Here is a 22,650-nt window from a genome sequence, read left to right as displayed (position 1 = left end):
CTCCATCTCAAAAAAAAAAAAAAAAAAAAAAAAATGACCAGGCTCAAAGTGAGCCCTTATTCTGACTGACAACTTCTTTGCACGCTACCCTGCACCTTTGGCTTGCTATGCCCTATTAGCCAATGTAATAATAATAATATAGTAAAGAGAGAGTGAAAGTTTTCTTTTTCCTCTTGGGACCAGCTTTCTTTGGGTCTTTGTGGGTCCCATCTCCTTGACTCTGGGGTCCCCACTGACCTTTCCCCTTTGGAACCATCGTGGGTGCTTATGCCTAGAACCATCTGTTTTACATGGATTATATCCATGTTGGGGGGTGCTTGTTTCTTGTTAGTTTCTATTGTCTATTTTGTGCCTTTTTTTGGACTCTTGAAGGAAACTGTAAGCTTTGCAGACCGTCTTACATCTCTCTCATGTTCCCTATGATGTCCGGCACATCATCGGAGAAGAGGTTGGAGTCTGCAGCTCAGTTTGGAGAGAATATCGTCTGAGGGAGGAAGGTGGGTGTGTTCATGTGTCTGCCTTTGGTCAAAGTAATGTAGTGTAGAAGCCTCCCAGCTAAAGCCAGGCTCACGACCACTCCACCACCAAGTGCCATAGTCACAGAACCCTTAGTGTTTGGCTGGGCACCTGGCCACCTTGAATAAAGACTGCATTTCCTAGCCTCTCTTTGTAGCAAGGTGAGACCCATATGACTACATCCCACCCTAAACTATGTAAGATAATTTGTATAGGTAACTTTTAGTAATTGTCCTTAAATAGAAGGTATTGTTTTCTTTTCCCTTTTCCCCCTAACTGGAATGTAGATGTGATGCCTGGAGCTCCAGCAGCCACTTTGGATCACATGATTATAGGAATGGAATCCCTTTGTGTCACAACAACAAGATAGAAAGCCTAGGTCCCTGATACCATGAGAGCCACACAAGCCATACCTCCCCGCTTCTTGGATATGAGAGAGAATTAAGAATTTTACCTTGTTAAGCTACTATTATTTTGGATTTTTTGTAGCCAAATCTAATCCTATGCTATATCCATGGGTGCCTCTGGGCCTTTCTATCTCTAGTACCATTCCCACTCCTTTCTGTCTCCACCAGCGTGACCCCCATGTAACACAAATCTAGTGACTTCCAACAGCTCTCCATCACCCAAACAATAAGGCTGCCCAAGCACCGTAGTCTTGCACCAGCTCCTTAGTGATGAGGTCCCTTTACTTCTCCAGCCTCGCATCCTCCACTTGCCCTCCACCTCCCTGCCTTGCTGTGATCACACAAAACGATTGGTAGCTCCCCAAGGGGGGCAAGCTCACTTAGGTCTCTGTCCTTTCTCTGCTGCCTGGAGTGTCTTAGGCTCCTTGCCTGCCTGGCCAAATGCCTGCTCACTCTTTAAGGCCCTGCCCAACCATCCTCCCCTTTGTAGTCCATCCAAGCAGGTCTGACAACTCCCATCTGGGTCCCCAGGGTCTCCAGTAACCATATAATAGCACCTAACATCCAGAGCTGCCCCTCTACTCTCTTGCCTGGATTGTGAGCTCTTTAAAGGCAGGGCCTGAAGCTTCTTATTTCTCATTTCCTGGGGTCTGAACAGCGCCCAGCAGACTACAGGTGCCTTTGCTTGCTAGCAGGATGATGATTCCCCTGCACCTGCAGAAATGAGTGGTGTTGATTCTAGAATGCCGCCTCCTAGCTGCTCCTGGAGAGTATCCTGAGCATGCATCTCCTCTCCCGGAGGTGGGCCTGAGGGTGGGCAGATCAAGGCTCAGGACAGGAATTTGGGCGTGACGGAAGCCATACCCTGTGGGACGTGTCTTCAAGATGGCAGAGCAAAGCTAGGACCAAAAACTCCTAGAGAAGACTTAGGGGAAGAAGGGGTGGTGTGTGCGTGTGTGCACCTGTGCACGTGCGTGTGTCTGTGCATGTCCGTGTGTGCATGCGCCTGTGTGTGCATGCTGTGTGTGCGTGCATGCATGTGCTCAAGAATGTGTGTGTGCCTGTGTGCATGTGTGTGTGTGTGTCAGGCATGGGTATGGGTGAGGCTCTGGGCTTGCATATGTGTCTTTCTGGAGAGAGGTGCGTTCGAGGTGTGTGTGGGTGAGGAGATTGGCAGAGACCCTTTGGGCCTTTCTGTGTACATGAGCTGCAGGCACACACGTGTGCATGCTTGTGGGAGAGGTAGGAGTGTAAGATGTGAGGGGTGCACTTGCGTGTGGACTTCTGTGGGTGGGATGAGGGATGCATGCCTTCTGTGTGTGAGGTGGAGGAGTTAGGAGGGATGATCGTGTGTGTGTGTGTGCGTGCACATGTGTGTGTGTGTGTGTGAGAGAGAGAGAGAGAGAAGGAAGAGGAAGATGGGGAGGAGGGGGTGGAATTACAAATGAACAGAGAGAATGCAGGTGAGATCGGCACCTGTGTGACTGGGTGCGGCTCAGGACCTGCGTGGGATCTATAAGTGCTTCCTTAAAGTGACGACAACTGGTTTTCGGGGGCAAAGGGGGTTTTCCGGGCTGCTTGTGCACCAAGGACACATCTCCTGCTATTTCCTGGCCAGTGGGTCAAGTCTGGGCTGGACACCCTGGCAGGAAGGAGGGCTGAGTGCTGCCCCAGTGCTGATTTCCGGGGTGGCTCCTGCCAGCCTCCCTTCCACCTCCCACTTCTGCAGAGCTTCCAGCAGGCAGAGGCTCCCCCTCCTGGGCTGGCAAAGCCAGTGGGAGCTCCATTGGCACAAGGGAGGCTCTCATCATACCACTGTCCCTGGTAGGTGCCTGCCTCCCTCTCCCTGCCCCAGGGTTTCATCTAACCCCTGAACAGCAGTGAAATACTGGACCAGCCACAGCATCAGCAAGACCCAGGACTTCTTAGAAATGGTGCATCTCACCTCCTCCCGAGACCCCAAAGCAGAATCTCTGGGGCAGAGTCCAGCTGTCCACTCGACCAGCTTTCTGTGTCATTATGACACATTCTAAAGTTTGCAAAGCACCATCCTGGACGGCCTCACAGAAGCATCATGGGGTGAAATAACTTGGCCATGGATTCCCTCACTTTTCCATGCACCAAAGGTTTATTGACCACCTGATATCTGCCACGCCCTGGTTTAGGCACTGTGGATATGTCAGTGATCAGAGTAGACAAAAATCCCTGCCCTCGTGAGCTTATGTTCTAGTGAGGGAGATACACAGTGAAGAACACACCAGAATGCTAAGCGTGTCGGGTGTTTGCAGGTGGAGGGAAATAGTCCAGGAAGAGAGGTAGGGGGTGCTTGGCTGGAGTTGCAATGTTCAATGGTCCAGCAAGGGAAGGCCTGGCCAAGAAGGTCAGAAAAGACTGAAGGGGTGACAGGGGTAGCCAAGCAGATATTGATTAGAAGAGAGTTTCAGGTCCAGGTGAGGTGGCCCACACCTATAATCCCAGCACTTTGGGAGTCCAAGGAGGGTAGATCACTTGAGCTCGGGAGTTTGAGACCAACCTGGACAATATAGTGAGAGCCCATCTCTACAAAAAAATACAGAAATTAGCCAGACATAGTGGTGTGCATCTGTAGTCTCAGCTACTTTAGGGAGCTAAGGTGGGGGGATTGCTTGAGCCCGGAGGTTGAGGCTGCAGTGAGCTGTGATCTTGCCACTATACTCCAGCCTGGGCGATAAAGAGAGATCCTGTCTCAAAAAAAAAAAAAAGAGAAAGAAAATAAGAGAGTTTCAGGGGTAGGAAGCAGCTGCCCTGGGGCAGGGAAGCATGCTGGGGGGATCCACGGAGGGGGAAGAAGTGAGAGGTGAGGCCAGGAAAGCACGCAGCCTCTAGTGCAGACCCAGGACTTCGGCCCTGACCTTCTCTTTGCCTCATTTGGAGACAGCCAGCAGCTGAGCCCACTGATGTTGTAAGGCTGCTGTAACCCAGAGGGTGAGAGGGGAGCTATGGAGGGCTCGGATTTCCCGAGATCCTCCTGGCTGCTGGCGGAGACCACAGACCATGTCAATAATTCCAGTGAGAGTTGTCTGTGGCTCGGACGGGGATGGTAGCAATAAAGTGGGTAAGAAGGGATCAGATTCTAGGTGGGTTTTTTGGTTTTGTTTTGTTTTGTTTTGTTTTTGAGATGGAGTCTCACTCTGTCTCCAGGCTGGAGTGCAGTGGCACAATCTCAGCTCACTGCAACCTCCAACTCCCTGGTTCAAGCGATTCTCCTGCCTCAGCCTCCCAAGTAGCTGGGATTACAAGCACATGCCACCATGCCCAGCTGATTTTTATATTTTTAGTAGAGAAAGGGTTTCACCATGTTGGCCAGGATGGTCTCCATCTCCTGACCTTGTGATCCTCCCTCCTCAGCCTCCCAAAGTACTGGGATTACAGGCGTGAGCCACCGCGCCCGGCCCAGTGTTTTATAAAAATTTATTTTAACTGTGGTATAATACACAAGACATAAAATTTATCATCTTAAACATTTTATTTATTTATTTATTTATTTATTTGAGATGGGATCTCACTCTGTCACCCCAGGCTGGAGTGCAGTGGCACGATCTTGGCTCATTGCAACCTCCGTGTCCCAGGTTCAACCTGCCTCAGCCTCCCAAGTAGCTGGGACTACAGGCGTGCTACCACGCCTGGCTAAGTTTTGTATTTTTAGTAGGTGTTTCACCATGTTGGCCGGGTTGGTCTTGAACTCCTGACCTCAAGTGATCCACCTACCTCAGTCTCCCAAAGTGCTGGGATTAGGGGCATGAGCCACCACGCCCAGCCCCATCTTAACCATTTTTCAGTGCAGAGTTCAGTAGTAGCCTTACATACATTCACGCTGCTATGCAACCACCGCCACCTCCCTTCCACAGAACTCTTCATCCTGCAAAACTGTAACCTTGTCTTCGTTAAACACTCACTCTCCGTCTCCCACTCCCCTAGCTCCTGGCAACCCCTCTTCTTCTTTCTGTCTGTAGGAATTTGACTATTCCAAGTACTTCATATAATTGAAGTTGTACAGTATTTTTCCTTTTGTGCCTGGCTTATTTCACCTAGTCTAGTGTCTTCAAGGCCCATCCATGTGGCAGCATGTGGCAGAATTGCCTTCCTTTTAAAGGCTGAACAATATTCCATTGTGTGACTAAGCCACATTCTGTTTATCCATTCATCTATCAGTGGATGTGGATTCTGGATGTATTTTGAAGGTAGAGCCAAGATGATTGGGTTGGGAGAAGGTGGGAAGAAGCAAAGAGCTAAAAAAGATCCTAAGAGGTTTGCTCAGAGCAATGAAGAATGGCACAGTCATTACGAGAATTAGGAAGACTGACGGGGAGTGGCCTTTGGGTGGAGTCAGAAGTTCAGTTCCAGAAGTTAAATGAGTGATGTCTATTAGCTCTTCTGGTGGAGAAGTCAACCAGCCAACTGGGGTTTGGAGCTCAGGGGCTGGGTCTCGGTGGAGATGTATGTTTGGGATGTGTCGGTGTAGACATGTGTGTGGTATGTAAACCATGAGATCAGATGGACTCCCCAAGGAACAAGTACAGAGGAGAGAAAACGTCAAGGAACTGAGCCCTGGAAGCCTTCGATGAGGAGGAGTCAGGGAAGGGGCTGGAGAGTGAGTGTCTGGGAGGGATGTATCCTGAAGGACAGATGAAGGTCGTGCTTCGAGGAGGAGGAATTAATCAACTGTATCTGATGGCAGATAGGTCAAAAAAGACCATCCTGGCCAGGCACAATGGTTCATGCCTGTAATCCCAGCACTTTGAGAGGCTGAGATTGGTGGATCACTTGAGTCCAGAAGTTCAAGACCAGCCTGAGCAACATGGGAAAACCCCATCTCTACCAAAAATACACAAATTAGCCAGGCATGATGGTGGCACCTTGTAGTCCTGGCTACTCAGGAGACTGAGGCGGGAGCATTGGTTGAGCCCAAGAGGTCAAGGGTGCAGTGAACTGTGATTGCGCCACTGCACTCCAGCCTGGGTGACAGAGTGAGCACCTCTCTCACAAAAACAAACAAACAAACAAAAACAAAAACTGTCCTGAGGGCCGGCATTGAATTTAGCAATGTGGGGACTACTGGTGACGCCGATGACAGCAGTTTCAGTGTAGTGGTTGAGGCAAAAGTCTGATGGACAGGTTAAAAAGAGGATGGGTGGGGGGCCAGGCACGGTGGCTCACGCCTGTAATCCCAGCACTTTGGGAGGCCGAGGAGGGCACATCACGAGGCCAGGAGATCGAGACCATCCTGGCTAACACGGTGAAACCCTGTCTCTACTAAAAATACAAAAAATTAGCCGGGCGTGGTGGCGGGTGCCTGTAGTCCCAGCCGCTTGGGAGGCTGAGGCAGGAGAATGGTGTGAACCCGGGAGGCGGAAGTGAGACTCCATCTCAAAAAAAAAAAAAAAAAAAAAAAGAGGATGGGAGGGAAGGAGCCCTAGGCAGTGAATATAAAACTGGGCAGTAGCAGGAGGGTTTGAGGGGGCCAGAAAAGCTTTTATTCTGCTCTGTTCCTTTTTGAGATGGGAAACGAACCATGCAAGAAGAGTCTAGCAGAGGGAAACTCAGCGATACGGGGAAGAGGGAAGGGTGGCTGGGGCCAAGGCCTTGAGTGGGGTCTTGGGATCCAGGAAACAGGAGGGGGACATGGACAGGCCATCCTCAGTGACAGGAGGGATGATGGCACAGGTGACACGGATGTCAGCAGAGAGGTGGCTGCTTCAATTTCCTCAGTGAAGGAACACGAAGATCAGTCTGCTGAGATGGAGAAGGTGTTGGGGGCTTGAGGCCAGAAGAGAAAAGTCCAAGCTAGTGACCAGGTGGCCGGGGGCTGAACAGGCTGAGACACAGAGCCCGACCACCAGCAGCTCTGAGGACCCATTGGCGGCCCCGGCTATGACCGCAAGGTGGTGAGTTCAGCAGGGCTGGAGGTGTGCCCGGTGAGTGTGCAGAGGTGAGAGGCAGAGCCTGGGTACAGGGGCGGGAGTCCAGGCGTGGACCACTGCGTGCAAACCACACAAGAGCTGCACGGAGCTGGGGTGAGAAACTGGAGCTCCTTGCTCCCAGACCTGAGTTCTTTTTCCGAGACACCATGAAGCTGCCTTACTAAAGCTCTGGGACAGTCAAACCCACTCTTCACCCACTGGTGTCCACAGGTGGGCGTGAGGCACATGTAACAGTTTGAGCATCCTTGGTGGCCTCTGCCCCGTGACAGCCCGGGTGCAAGCATCTAGATTCTGGGAACTTGCAGCTTAGCAAGGGGGTGCCAAGGGCTGTCCCAGCTCTAACAAAGGGCCTGACACACACGGGTTGCACGTTAGTGTAATCCATATCTGTTGAATGAATAATGAATGAACCGATTTTTGGCCTCAAAATTTCCATTTAATGGTTTTCAATCTTTTGTATCTGTAGCAGTTTTAAATAATTAAATTTTGGGCAATTTAATATTAAATTCCTGTCCAGGTGCAGTGGCTCACACCTGTAATCCTAGCACTTTGGGAGGCCGAGGTGGGTGGATCACCTGAGGTCAGGAGTGCGAGACCAGCCTGCTAAAAATACAAAAATTAGCCAGGCATGGTGGCACATGCCTGTAATCCCAGCTACTCAGGAGGCTGAGGCAGGAGAATCGCTTGAACCAGGGAGGTGTAGGTTGCAGTGAGCCAAGATCGCACCACTGCACTCCAGCCTGGGAGGCAGAGCAAGATTCCGTCAAAAAAAAAAAAAAATTAAATTCCCACTTGAAGAAGTTAAAAATGTGAAACTAAATACGTGAGCACCATTCACAACATAATCCCCAGTGCTGTAGAGCTGTCTCCCAGTGTCACTAAAAGTTTCCGCAATTATCATCATTCATTTTTGTCGCCCTCAATGCTGTGATAGAAGTCTACCCCTCCCTGCTCTCATACTGCAACGTTAACCCCTTTCTCAGGGGTCAGGATCTAAAAGTTAACATCTAAGGAGAAAATGCAGCTTGATGAGATTTACCCTTGAACATAATTGAATGTGTCTAATAAGTGCAAAATTCCTGCTTTGCACACGCCATTCTCTGCCCTGAGATGCATGTTCAGTATGCTCTGAAATGTGCGGCACACAATTAAACATTATTATGCAAAGTAAGAGTTACAGTATTTTTGACAGTGAAAGGGCAAAGGGTTGGAATCCACTTAAATTCTCAAATCAGGCAATTCCCTTGTAAATTTATAAAGCAAAGGTCTTGTATATCTGGGCTAACTCACCATTCCTCTGTCCCCGCCAACCTGACCCAAGACCCACTCACCTCAATTATCTGCTCAGTCTGGGCAGAGGTGGTGGAGGGGAGATGAACACCTAACCCCAGGTCATTGGAGGGAACCTCTTTAGGTTGCATGAATCCAAAACAATTGCTTCATCTAAAATTCTGGAGCCACACACCCTGAGTTGAAAAAAGAGACTATCACTTAAGCTCAAACATCAATGACTGCTGAGGGTGGGGTGTGGAGCCCAGTCCCCATGTCTCTGCATTATAGATGCTATTTGTATGAATGATCTAAAGCAGAAGAGACTCCCAGGAAGTGGACCTCAGACTCCAAAGGGACAGTGACCAGCTGTCAGAGTCTCAGAGTTCACGTGGACAAGCTGCCCCCACAGACAGAGCATAACCCTGCATCTCAAATGTGCACAGATGACTGTTTTCACAGTTGGGTAGAAGCTGTTGTGATGAATAAACTACACATTTATTCCACAGTCCAATGAAATCCAATAGTAAATTTTAGTGGGTTTGTGTGTTCTCAAGCAGCACCTACTAACCATATAATCGCTTGGATGTGGGCCTTGTAAGAACAAGGTCTGCACCTTCTAAGTTCAGAAAGCTCAAAAGCTCTGGTCCAGATGTTGTAGCAAAGCAATCTCTTAACCAGGCCTTTCACCCTTTTCCCCACCAGGAAGTCAAGGCCACTGTCCCTTTAGGGTCTGTGTTTCCAGCTGAGAGCTTCAGCAGACAGAAGAGCAGATGAAGCTGGGGAGAAGTGGAAATCTCATTATCCAGGCTGCCAGCATGCTGATTTCCACTGTCTCCCATGGAGGGGTCCCAGGGAAGGTGGGAAGGACCCACTCTTGGTCCGGATGGTGTCCCCATGCTCAGAAAACAACTTGGCTTTCTTCAGTCTTGGGAATCCCAGCTTGAGCTTCCCAATTTCTTACATTGTGTCTGCTCTTCCTGATCTCATTTCCAATCAGGTTTTATAAGCAGATCCTTAGGATTTGGAAATGTATAGTCTGGGCTAAAAATGGCAATTGGCAAGTGACTGATTAGGGACATTTGGCACTGGCAGCGTGTTGGTGAGTTACATCTGCCTGCTATGAAATCCCATCCTGGTCCTGGTCACCGTCTGGTCAGCCTCCTCCAGCCGCCATCCAGTCTCAAGTCTCCAAGTGGATCAGAAAAAGACCTGTTTCTCCAGAATGATGAGGAATTAGGCCGTGAGATGAATTCTGGAGAACAATTGCACATGGTAACTTCTCTGAAAATTCTACTTTGGGAGGTTATGTTTGTATAATCACTTCTCCATTACTTCCCCCTTGACTACTAAATCATGATGCACAAACTTAGTAAGAAGTACTCAGAGTCATACGTATAACTCAGATTTGTTGTGAAGTAGCTTTCAAAGGATGAAACATAGTTGTATGAAAGGAGGATTTTGGCTGGGTGCGGTGGCTTATGTCTGTAATCCCAGCACTTTGGGAGGCTGAGGCAGGCTGATCACTTGAGGTTGGGAGTTCAAGACCAGCCTGGCCAACATAGTGAAACCCCATCTCTACCAAAAAACACAAAAATTAGCCAGGCATGGTGGCATGCACCTGTAGTCCCAGCTACTCAAGAGGCTGAAGTGGGAAAGTTGCTTCAACCCGGGAAGCAGAGGTTGCAGTGAGCCAAGATCATGCCACTGCACTCCAGCCTGGGCAACCAAGACCCTGTCTAAAAAAAAAAAAAGGGAAAAAAAAAGAAAATGGCTGGGTGCAGTGGCTCATGCCTGTAATCCTAGCACTTTGGGTGGCAGGTGGATCACCTGAGGTGGGTGAATCACCTGAGGTCAGGAGTTCAAGACCAGTGAAACCCCATCTCTACTAAAAATACAAAAATTAGCTGGGCATGGTGGTGTGCGCCTACAGTCCCAGCTACTCGGGAGGCTACAGGAGAATCATTTGAACCCAGGAAGCGGAGGTGACACCACTGTACTCCAGCCTGGGTAACAGAGAGACTCCGTCCAGAAAAAAAAAAAAGGAGGATTTTATTGCATTTAACGGATGACACTGGCCTCCCCAGGTGCAGAGAAAGAGCACTGGAGTGGGAATCAGGAGACCCCATTTCTCTTCAGGTTTATCATTCCTTGTGTGATCCTTTAATACTCAATTAACCACTCTGGGCCCGAGGGGGAGTGAGGGGTGGGAGTTGGTTTATGGTCACCAGGGCCATTTTCCAGTCTTCCTTGTCAACTCCGTGCCTGGACAAGAAAACATGCATAGTCTTGAGTTTTTGGAGTCCCCAGGGCATTGCACCCCAGAACTTTAGGGACCCAGGAGCATGACCTTAAATAATAACCAATCTCCCAATGAGAAAATTATTCTCCTCTCAGTGTCTTTCAGGCCCTTTAATTAACGCAAGCCTCAGTCTTGCTTTTTTATCTCTCATACCCCAGCCACACTTTCTGATCTCCCCCTTGTAACAAACACAGAGCCAGGCCTGAGGTCCAGAAGAAATCAAACCATGTGATTTGGTGTTGCGTGGATTAGTCTTATGGCTATCTTCTACTTTTTTGGTGCATGATATTGGATTTCCATTTACTGTAGGAGGTGGCAAAAGATTTTTCTTTTAAATGAAATGTATCTTAGCAAACAAGTTGATTTACAGGAAAAAGGTTGATATTAAGATCACAAGTGATACCTAGATGTTGCAAAAAATATGGCATGTGCAGGCATAGATCTACGTGAAGTTTAGATATTTTTATTTATTTATTTAGGGGATGTTTACTGATTTATGGCTTAAGAACACTCATCGTACTGCCTCTGAATTGCAGGGGGTTATGCAAGGAATTGTATCTCTCTTGTGTATCTGCGGATGTGGAATACACCCCGAGTTTTGAGTTTCTGCCGGCTCAATCCCTGCAATTGCTGGATCTGGACACCAGAGGGAGCGTCTCCCTTTGCGTCTGAGGAGGCGACCTTGACCATGGCTCCGTGCCACATTTCACATGCATGTGAATTAAGCCGCCATTTTCTGAACCTAATCACAACCCTTATTGTTAATGGAGTCCACAAATGTCCCCTGCCATTCATGTCTCAACCCAAATGTCACGTCTTCAGGCCTCCCCTGAGTCTCCTCCACCTGATCCCATTGCATCTTCATCATTGCACTACGCCTGTGATGGGTGTGTGTTCTGTGGTTCTTGCATTCCATCCTCTCATCCCCACGCCAGAAGATAAGCTCCTCAAGGGCCGGGGCTCTGCCTAGAACAGCCTCTGGCATGCAGTAGCCACTCAATAAATATCACTCAATGGCGGAGTGAGTGACCCTTCAACGAAAACTCAGTTGCAGGCGGCACGCAAATTGTGCCAGGACGGAAATTAGGTCAGACAAATCTTATTCCAAATCTGAGGATCCTTCACATGTTGGCCTCCTGGTTTGGGGCAAGTTATTTGGATTCTCCAAGACTCTGTGTTCTCATGTAAGCAGTTGGGGAAAATAGCCACTGTTTCATCAGGCCGTTCTCTACCTGGTAGAGAAAGACATTAGGCCCTTGTGAACTGGTCTGTCTGGATTGGGAGAAGTTTGGAGTTGACCGTTTTTGTTGTTGTTGTTGTTGTTTTCTTTGAGACAGAGTCTCACTCTGTCGCCCAGGCTGGAGTGCAATGGTGCGATCTTGACTCACTGCAACCTCCGCCTCCTGGGTTCAAACCATTCTCTTGCCTCAGCTTCCCAAGTAGCTGGGATTACAGGCAACTGCCACCATCCCTGGCTAATTTTTGTATTTTTAGTAGAGACGGGGTTTCACCATGCTGGCCAGGCTGGTCTCGAACTCCCGACCTTAGGTGATCTGCCTGCCTCGCCCTCCCAAAGCGCTGGGATTACAGGTGTGAGCCACCACACCTGGCAGGAGTTGACTGTTTTTATGAAAAACCGTGCTCATCACCCCTGCCCCCTTTAAAAAATGCCAAGTAACGGGCACAACAGTTATCGCCTGCATTTTCACCCCAACCATAGCCTCCACCCCTTATGTTCTTCCACTCTCCTGCTTGCTATCCTGGGCTCCTCTTAGTTTCTCAAGCCCACCTCAGAGCCTTTCCCATGACAGTCCCATGAAATCCTCTGTCCAAGACCTTTCCTTGGGGAGCCCTCACTCATTCATCCAGGACTGGGCTTAAGCATCATTTCCTCAGGGAAGCCTTCCCTGACCACAGACCCCACTGGTCAGCAAACCCTTTAGGTCCCCTGTTCAAATTCGTATTTATTTACTCAATGTCTAGCATTCCCATTATTTGTTGAGTGATAACGTGCTGGTGGAAAATATCTCAACGTTGACGTGGTTTGGCTTTTAGCCATGGACAGGCTCCAGGGCGCCAAGATGGGCTGCATCAGAACAGCGGGGGAGTTTGCTCTGCCCCAGAATATGCCAGAACCTGCCAGAGCCTGCATCTGTGCACTGAGGGTTTCCATGCCAACCAGCTGGGCCCTAGTGAGGGGCACTTGATTCCCTAAATGGCCCCCCAAGTCAATGACAGGTGTGCCTCTCTGAAGTCGGGAAACTTGTTTTGAAGTCATGGCTGGTGAATTCATAGAGCTGGATCTTTACTGTTTAGAAATTCATTCTCAAAGGCAGAAAGACTACAGGAAGTGAGCAGCACATTCCCAGATCCAGGGGCAAGAGCTGAAAAAATGGGAACTCTGCCAGCAGTAACTTGCTATCAGCGAGTCCTCTCCCACAGTCCCAGACACAGGGGCTCAAACCCTGTGCCCGGGGCCTGCCCCCTCCTGGCCTCTCCTTCTGTCATGGCCCTTCTCTGACCCCTTCCTTGTTCTTAGATTGTACTGGCACTAAGCGAAAGCTTTTGGAGGCGATTGCTAGATTCTCCACATTTTTCTTCTCCTTAGCTAGAGAAGGTGAAATTTCCTAATGATCTACAATGTTCTCTGGCTACAGCCATGCCTCTGTACATGTTTGTAGCTTAATTATCAGCCAGAGCCTCCTGATGGCAATGTCCTCCCGGTGGGACACACCTGCTCTGCATTCAGAAGCTTGGCATTTGGGGTGTGTGTGTGTGTGTGTGTGTGTGTGTGTGTGTGTGTGTATTGCAGCTATCTTTTTTTTTCCCTAAAAATTTTCTGTCCAGGTAAGTGTGTTTGAACTGCAGTGGGTTTTTGGTGTTTCTTCTTTTAAAAAAATCGATTTAATTTTAATTATCTTTGGTTAATTTTAATCATCTTTGGGGCTTCTGTTAGTCCTCTGGCACTGCTGCAACACAGTACCATAGTCTGGGTGGTATCTAAACAACAGACATTGTTTCTCGCAGTTTTGGAGGCTGGAAGTCTGAGATCAGGGTGCCTACGTGGTCCGGGGCTGCTAAGGGCCCTCTTTCGGGCTAAAGACGGCTGGCTTCTCTTTGTATTCCCACTTGATGGAAAGAGGGGTCCATCTTTGGGGTCGCTTTAATAAGGGCAGTAACCCCATTCGTGACCCAGTTGCCTGCTAAAGGCTCCATCTCCTAACACTGTCACACCAGGGGTTAGGATTTCAACACAGGAATATTGCAGGGACATTCACATTCAGTCCATTGCAGGCTCCTCTCCCAGAGGAAATCCCCTTCTCTCATAGAGCACGTACCAATGACTTCAACCAAGAAGCAATGTAGGAATGGCCTCTCTTTCTGTCAAGGCGTCTATGTGTGGGTCCATGCCGGCCGACTTGCATCCCTCCCCTCTGCCCTCACTGCTGCCCCCAGGAGCTGGGCCAAGATTGTCCCGGGGATGATTCCCCCTCTCCCCAGACTCCCTAGGGTGTGGCCTCTGAGCCTGGCCATGAATGCTGCCATTGCCTCCCTCTGCCTTTTGAGGACACCAGGAATCGGCGGGCGGGGCTTCTGTGTTCTGAGTGGGCAGAGGCAGGTGACGCTGCTTCATGCCATCCCTGCCCTCTGCTCCACGCCTGCCAGCTCCAGAACCTTTCCTGACTCCCCTCCACCATCCATCTATCCACCCTATGGCCTCTGCTTAGTCTCTGCTCTTGCTCAGTTCTTTGAGTCAAAGCGTCCTGCTGGATTCTGGATTTCCTTTCCAGCTTCCCATTCTGCAGCCTGAAAGCCTTGATGTGATTAGGCTTTATGTCCCCACTCAAATCTCATCTTGAATTGTAATCCCCATAATCCTCACCTGTCAAGGGAGAGACCAGGTGGAGGCAATTGAATCATGGGGGTGGTTTCCCCCATGCTGTTCTCTGATAGTGAGTGAATTCTCGCGAGATATGATGGTTTTATAAGGGGCTCTTCCCCCTCGCTCGGCACTTCTCCTTTCTGCCCGCCTTGTGAAGAAGGTGCCTTGCTTCCCCTTTGCCTTCCACCATGACTGTAGGTTTCCTGAGGCCTCCCCAGCCATGCTGAACTGTGAGTCAATTAGACCTCTTTCCTTTATAAATTACCTAGTCTCGGGCAGTTCTTTATAGCAGTATGAAAACAGGCTAATACACCCACCCTGCTCCAACTGCATCTCCATCTTCATCTCGAGTTCCCAGCCCCAGCATGTTGCTTCTTAATAATTTGCCGATTACACAAACTGTTAGTCCTTGGCTTGGTCTGTGATGAAAGAAACTCCTCTGTTGAGACACAGACCTTTCAAGAACTGTGAAGGTATTAGCTGACATTTACTTTACTCTTACTCTGTGCTGGGCACTGGCTAAGAATCTTATAGGGCTGTCTTCCTTGAATCCTCTTGCAGCTCATAAAGTTGATTCTTATTATCCTTTTGTTAAGTTAGGAGGAAGAGAGAGGTGAGGTGAGTAGCTGGGACCCCAGAGCTAGCACATGGCAGAGCCTTAAACCAAGTCCAGTCCTCTGACTTCAGAGCTTCCAAAATTAACTGAGAGATGTGCTGTGTCCTGAGAGCTGAACTTCTCCACGTGGCTTCGGTCAGTTTCTCACACCTGTGTTTGGACGGATCTGCTTTGAGATTGCCTACACTATGCTACGTTACAATACACGATGAGGTGCAGGGTTGATGCAGACAAAGCAGAGGGCTGGTCTCCATCTTCACAGTCTCGTGTGGGTTGAGAATTAGCAGGTCCTGGCCTTAGGGGGCTGCCCTCCAGCCCCCTGGCCCCACCTGGGCTCCCGAGTGGCCCCGACTCCTGTCCCAGCCCAGCCTCTCTCCCTACTCCTTCCACCATCTGTACTACTGCTCAGCAGACTTTTCTCAGAAATGAAGCTGGCTTGCCTGACCTCTGCCTGAAATGTCTTTTGGCTCCCTATTGCCTGTTGGATGAGGTTCACAATCCTTCGTCTGGAGTTCAAGGGTCTTTTGTCTCTGGCCCCAACATATGTCTCTGGTCTTTAAGCTCCAGCCTTAGGGAACTTTGCATTCCCAAACACGCCAAGTTTCCCTAAACCTGTGTGGCACGGCATAGTGTCCCCTCCCACCTGGGAAACTCCCATTCATCTTTTCCCTTTGCGAAGAGTCCCATCAGTCTTGCTGGTCACTCCCTCCTTTGGTCCACTGTGAGTCTCAGTACCGACCTCCATTGTGGCCCTTGAATGGTAGCGATGCATTGTTGTGGATTCTGGTGGGGATGAATGTGTTAGGCTGTGTAGGAGAATGTCCTTTTGCAGGAAACACACACTAAAGAATTTAAGGATAATGGGGCACCAAGCTGGCAACTTACTAGCCCAGAACCACGGTTCCCAAGCCATGTTTCGAGGTGCCCCAGGGCACTACAGTAAACTCTCAGAAATGCCATAGGATACTTTATTTTATTATTTTATTTTATTTTATTTTATTTTGAGACAGAGTCTTGCTCTGTCGCCCAGGCTGGAGTGCAGTGGTGCAATCTCAGCTCTCACTGCAACCTCCGCCTCCTGGGTTTGAGCGATTCTCCTGCTTCAGCCTCCAGAGTAGCTGGGATTACAGGCACACACCACCATGCCCGGCTAATTTTTGTATATTTAGTAGAGACGGGGTTTCACCATGTTGGCCAGGATGGTCTCGATCTCCTGACCTCATGATCCACCCACCTCGGCCTCCCAAAGTGCTGGGATTACAGGCATGAGCCACTGTGCCCGGCCAGAATACCTTAAATGTTTGACGGAAACACAGCAACATCTACCAGCCTACCACTATTCAGCCTCCCTGAGAATGGCCTCTCCAAAACCTGACAAAGAAGTGGCCATTCTCAAGTCATTTAATCAGGGCAGACTGCATAGAGGGGAATGTGTGATGTGGTTGTTTCATGGCTTTGGAGCAGAGGGAACGCACAGGGGCCAGAAGAATAACAACATGAATATTCACGACTTCCAGATTTGTGTCCAAAAAAGGAAGATGAAAGAGTGGCTTCTGGAGGGGGGTGGGCAGATGCTACATGTGGATGTTATTGCCGGAAACGATCCCTGTGACCCTACACTGGGGCCTGGGGCCTTCCACACAGCAGAGCCTGTGCAGCTCCTGGGTGGAATGAGGACCGAGGCACAGAATCCTAACTACAGATGCTCCTTGTCTTACTATGGGATTACGTCCCAATAAACCTGTTGTAAGTTGAAAATATCATATATTGAAATGCATTTTTATTATTTATCCTTTTAATAAATCATTAATTAGAGACAGGGTCTCACTATGTTGCCCAGGCTGGTCTTGAACTCCTGAGCTCAAGTGATCCTCCTGCCACGGCCTCCCAAAGTGCTGGGATTACAGACGTGAGCCACCATGCCCTGCTGAAAATGCATTTAATACACCTAATTCGCTGAGCATCATTGTTTAGCCTAGCCTGCCTTAAACATGCTCAGAGCACTTACATTAGCCTACAGATGGGCAACATCATCTAATACAAAGCCTGTGTTATGATTAAGTGCTGAATATCTCATGTGGGAGTATTGCACTGTGCATCCCTAGCGGGGGAAAAGATCAAAATTCAAAATTCCAAGTATGGTTTTGACTGAATGTGTATCACTTTCACAGCACCGTCGTAAAGCAGAGAAATCATAAGTGAACCAACGCAAGTCGGGGCCTGTTTGTACTTGATAAATAGAATTGTTGGGTGCTTTTGGCCTAGGAGTGCTGTGAAGAAGTTTCTGAGACCTGAGGGTGCCATTTACCATAAAAGCCTGGGAGCCCTCCTTTACAAAGGAGTTCTTTGTTCTGGACTCGCAACTTTTCTGTAAGTTTGTTTCTATAGGATTGTTTCAGAATTAAATAGGAAGCACTGGAGGCTGATTTCTAGTCCTTTTGGAGGTTCTTTGTAGATAGAAGTTTCTTCTGCCTTCCAGGGCAGCCACAGTTGCCAAGCATGGTGGGTGGACAGCTAAGGCTTAGGAGGCAGGCTCCTGAAACTATCCTCACCGGCCACCTTATTATAGGTTCTTCTCCATTTCCACCAGCAGATGGGAGTTATCCTAAAGAAAATGTGTGCTACACAATGTCCAAACTATGTATGGAATCGCTTGTCCCATTCTGTTCCAGGAAAATATGTTAAAGAAGAGGAAAATAATAAATTGGCCATAAGAGGGCAGAATTGTTAGCTTTTTTCCCTGATAAAATTGGGTAAGCATATGAATTTGGGGGAAAAAAATGACTCTTCGCAGGTGCAAGTTCTATGTTCAATGGTCAAAGGTATAATTTGGTAAAGGGGTAAATGTAAAGTATTGACTTCTGGCTCCCCAAACCAATTTTCCATGCACAGGCTGGTGAAGACAGCTTAGGCACTACTGACCTGCAGATCACCTGTGCATTGGAGATTACAGGTTTAGGACATTTTCTTAACAAACAAAATGAGCAAATACACGAAGCCCACGTCAAGAAACATAATAGTCCCTGGCATTTGGTGCTGGAGTTTTTAATCAATTCTGGAAATTATACTTTAAAGAGACATTGCAATCTGGAGGTTCTACAGAAGACAGTGAGCAGGATGATGAAACATCCCTGAAGCACATCACCCACAGGAGGGAAAAGAGGGAGGGGACATGGTTGGCCACTCAGTGAGGACAGGTAACTACTCTCAGGGGCTAAGTTGAAAAGCAGGGTCTATTTGGTGTGGTTCCTAAGGGCAGAGCAAAATCAGTAGATTGAAGTGACTTGAAGCAGACAGAATTGCATGCAGGAAAGGTCAGCTGCTTGGAGCTGTCTGATTCCAGAACCACTTCTGCGTGGAAAAGTCAACATGACATTGGGAACATCAAGCACAGGCTGCCTGAGATGCCGGCACAGGGCGGCATCTGCCTGGCATGTGAAATCCGTGCAGGTTGAGTTGCCGCCGTTGAAGGCTGGGGAGCACCACCTACTCAGCCTCCCCTACTCAGCCTCCTCTTCTCAGCCTCCTCTTCACCTCCTCCTCACACTCTTCCCTCCAGGGACCCCATGAATGTCCCAGGGTCCCTCGGAGCCTCGTGTGAAAAACATTGAATCCCAGCCCCACCACTCATTAGCTGTGTAACCTTGGACAAGTGATCTCTTTAATCCTGTGAGATGGGGACCCATGATTGATGTGCTTAGGTGCAGTCATGTTCACAAAAGGCCTGACCTGGTGCCTGGCACTGCATGAGCTGCCCAACCTTACCCCTCATCAGCAGAGCCGGGATGAGGAACTATAACCCAGCCTGAGTCCTTTCCTCACTCCTTGGCCAAAAGAAGGGGAGAGTGGCCCTCGGGCAGGCAAAAACTAAAGTTGTTCCTTATGACATGCTCCTGCGGCTGCCTGCAATTTCTCTCAACTTAGGCTCACCTGCAAGCAATCCTGGGCGACATCATCCGCACTTATACAATTATAGTGATAATATGTTGCAGGTTGGATTCTTCAGAAAGCGGGCAAGGAGAAAGAGCTGGCAGGGGATTGGGGATGTCCTGGAGCCAGGCACTTGGGAAAGGAAGGGTGGGAGGAGCGATGGGTGGAGGGCGGGGGGATCCCGGCTGCAGAGCAGGCCCCACTCCTAGGGTGTGCTGGAGGCAGACCAGCCCTTCAGAGTTATCCTGAGTTGCCTGAGATTGCCACGACTTTGTTTCCAGCCCACTGGTCCCTGGATATGGACTGCCCAGGGCAGGGCATGACCAAGGGCGAGGTGGCGCTCTGCAGCTGAGGCAGCTCCCAGGGTAAGGGCTGATGGCTGAGGGTCACCTGAGGACAGTCCTCCCAGTAGCCCAGAGTGACATGGCCTTGACAGCAGGGACATCCGGGTGGGCTCACAGCATCCACCGCATGGTGATCACGGGAGTCATCGACAGCAGAATCATGGCTTCTCTGCTCCCTGGACAGCTTCTTGAGGACAAAGGGGCAAGACCTGGGCTTGACTGCTGTCTCCACCCAGTTCCAGCCCAGAATGTGGCTCCTGGGAAGGCCCTTTATGGCTGTAGCCCCAGTGATATCCCTAATGGGCACCTGTCACATGCATCCTTTGCATAACGTGTGATGTTGATAGCCTGACACAGAGGCAGGCATCATGCGGAGATGGAGGCTCAGAGAAGGGGACTGATCCGCCTGTCAGAGCGAGGAGCGGGCTGCTGCCAGGACGGGCCCCATTTGCTGCAGGACACAGGCTCCTGCAATCATGTGCCCAGCCTGGCCAGCCTGGCTGGAGTGATGCTCAGATCTGTGCTTGGGGCACCCCCTTCCTGGGCCTCTCACCTCCCCCATGACCTTGTGTCCTCATGCCAACTTGCCAGGAAGCTGGCCTCTGCTGGCACCTCACCCCTCCTCGATCCCCACTGTTCTGCTCTCCTGCAAGGGACCCTGGCCCAAACCTGGCCCTGGGCACAGGCCACCCCGAGCAGGGAGATAACGGAGCTCCCTGGAACAGAGCAGCCTTCAAAAGCCATGGTGCCATGGGCAGGTACTTTGAGGTGAAGCGTCTCTAGAGAGACAGAGGAAGATATTGGGGAGAAGAACATTTGGAGCAGCAAGTCAGAGCAAAAGGCAAAGGTCAGAGGTTGCTCAAGCCCAGGCGTTCATATCCTCAAGCCCAGTGACCGCAAGGCAAGTTACATGGCCTCTCTTGGACTCAGCTTGCTAATCTGTCCAATGGGAACAACAGCATTTCCTTCATCAGGTTGTAAATCGAGTTTCATACGTAAAGGGCCTGGCACTTAGGTGTTGAAGAAATCTTAGCTCCCATGATTTTATCATTTCCCAGGGAAACAAAGAGGTTCTGGGAGCTTGCTTGAGGCCCCTTTGCTCTGCAGCATCTTGCAGAGAAGGAAGGAGGAAGGACCACAGGAGCAGCGACAGCCCTGTGTTTGGGGGGGGAACAAAAACACCCTGAAAGTTCCAGATTGAGCTACTGTATGGGAATAATTATGGCTGCTATTTTGGTGCATTTGTTTAATAACGTTAATTTGCCGACAGCCTGATATTATAACATCCTCTCCCACACGGAGGTGGCTTGAGTTCTCTATTCACCAGAATCCATTTGCATTTCTTCTATGGGGTTTGGGGCTCAGGAGCTGGTGACTCACAGCTGGCGGGGGCCTCCAGGAAAGGCCCCTCTCCACGTGGGAGCAGAAGTGGGGGTGTTAGCTCCCGGCAACATCGCTCTGTGCCAAGGCAAACTTGAAACCCTCCCAGCCTCCCTGGGAATGGCCTCTAGCCTTGCCCTGGGCCTCTCCAAAACCTGGCAAAGAAGTGGCCATTCTCGAGACATTGAATCAGGGCAGACTTCTTAGAGGAGACGTCTCAATGTGGTTGTTTCATGGCCTTGAAGCAGAAGAAAAACACAGGAGCCAGAAAGGATAAGGACACAAATATTCACGACTTGGAGATTTGTGAAAAATGAAGATGAGAGTGACTTCTGAGGATGGGGGGCTGGCAGAATGTTACAGGTGGATGTTTTTGCTGGAAACGGTCTCCATGTCCATGCACTGGGGCCTGGGTGCATCTGTAGGGCAGTTGTGTGCAGCCACAGGGTGGAATGAGGACCAAAGTAGAGAAACTTGAGAGCAGTTGAAGGGCGGTTTCTCAGAACAGCAGTACTCCAGCTCATAATGAAGAAAGAATGGTGTTAGAACATCACCTCTGCGCAACCACTAACAGCGTAATGAACCTGGGCTGTGACTATTAATGACTGCTAACTTCCCGGAAGACAGATAGCCACGGCCGGGCGCGGTGGCTCATGCCTATAATCTCAGCACTTTGGGAGGCTGAGGCGGGAGGATCACTTGAGGTCAGGAGTTCGAGACCAGCCTGTCCAACATGGTGAAACCCTGTCTCTACTAAAAATACAAAAATTAGCTGGGTGTTGTGTGGCCATCTGTAATCCCAGCTACTTGGGAGGCTGAGGCAGGAGAATTGCTTGAACCCGGGAGGCGGAGTTTGCAGTGAGCCGAGATGGCGCCACCGCACTCCAGCCTGGATGACAGACCGAGACTCCGTCTCAAAAAAAAAAAAAAAAAAAGAGACAGCCAGATGGCCAGGTGTCACATGTCTCCTGAAGGAGTTTCACTGTCAACAAGTCAGACCTGCAACCAATCAAGCTTCTAGATCCGTCTACCAATTCACAGGAAATGCAATGGAGGGAAACATTCACCAACCCCAGGGTGATACAGTCAGAACATTCCGGGCTATGGGCCGACTGATAGTGGGTAAGGCTGAGAAACTCAAGGATGAAATGTAAGAGACCTGAAAGCAATTGTGAGGCCAGGATATTACATGGGTCTTGATAAACAGGAAAGCACCGACACATATGCATGTTTTAGATAATAACTAGGAAAATCGGCCAGGCTCAGTGGCTCACACCTGTAATCCCAGCACTTTGGGAGGCTGAGGCGGGTGGATCACGAGGTCAGGAGTTCAAGACCAGCCTGGCCAATATGGTGAAACCCTGTCTCTACTAAAAATACAAAAATTAGCCGGGTATGGTGGCGGGTGCCTGTAATCCCAGCTACTCGGGAGGCTGAGGCAGAGAATTGCTTGAACCCAGGAGGCGGAGGTTGCAGTGAGCCAAGATTGCGCCGCTGCACTCCAGCCTGGGCGACAGAGTGAGACTCCATCTAAAAATAATAATAATAATAATAAGGAAAATCTGAACATTGAACTGGACATTTGAGGACATCAAGAAACTATTGTTTTAAGTGTATTATTGGCATTGTGATTTTAAAAGAATCCTGATTTTTTGCCAATATGGCGGGAAATCATTGCAGAAGAAGTGATATGATGTTTGGGATTTGCTTCTAAAGAATCTGGGGTCAGACATGAGTTGGTCCTCGTGGAAGCTGAGTGATGGGTACCAGGGAGTTCGTTGTACCATCTTCTACCGGCCGGGTACTAACCAGGCCTGACCCTGCTTCACTTCTGAGATCAGGGGTTTTGAGGGTAGTGTGGCTGTAGGATTGCTGGAAATGTAGGGTGGAACCCACTACATTGACAAAAAGGAGAAAGCTAGGGAAGCCTAGGTAGCTCACAGCTGGAGACAGTTTTCCGCTCAGGGGACATTTGGAGATTTTGGTTGCCACAAGCAGAGGATACGAATGCTACTGGCATCCTGTGAGTAGGGGCTAGAGATG

General features: G+C 49.5%; 1 pseudogene; it reads right to left on the bottom strand.

Annotated features, from left to right (window-relative positions):
• RNA5SP446 (RNA, 5S ribosomal pseudogene 446) lies at positions 22,395 to 22,476 on the bottom strand (annotated as a pseudogene).

The sequence above is a fragment of the Homo sapiens genome, chromosome 17, assembly GCF_000001405.40.
Source record: "Homo sapiens chromosome 17, GRCh38.p14 Primary Assembly".
NCBI lineage: Eukaryota > Metazoa > Chordata > Mammalia > Primates > Hominidae > Homo > Homo sapiens.
This window is presented reverse-complemented; position numbering and strand designations above follow the sequence as displayed.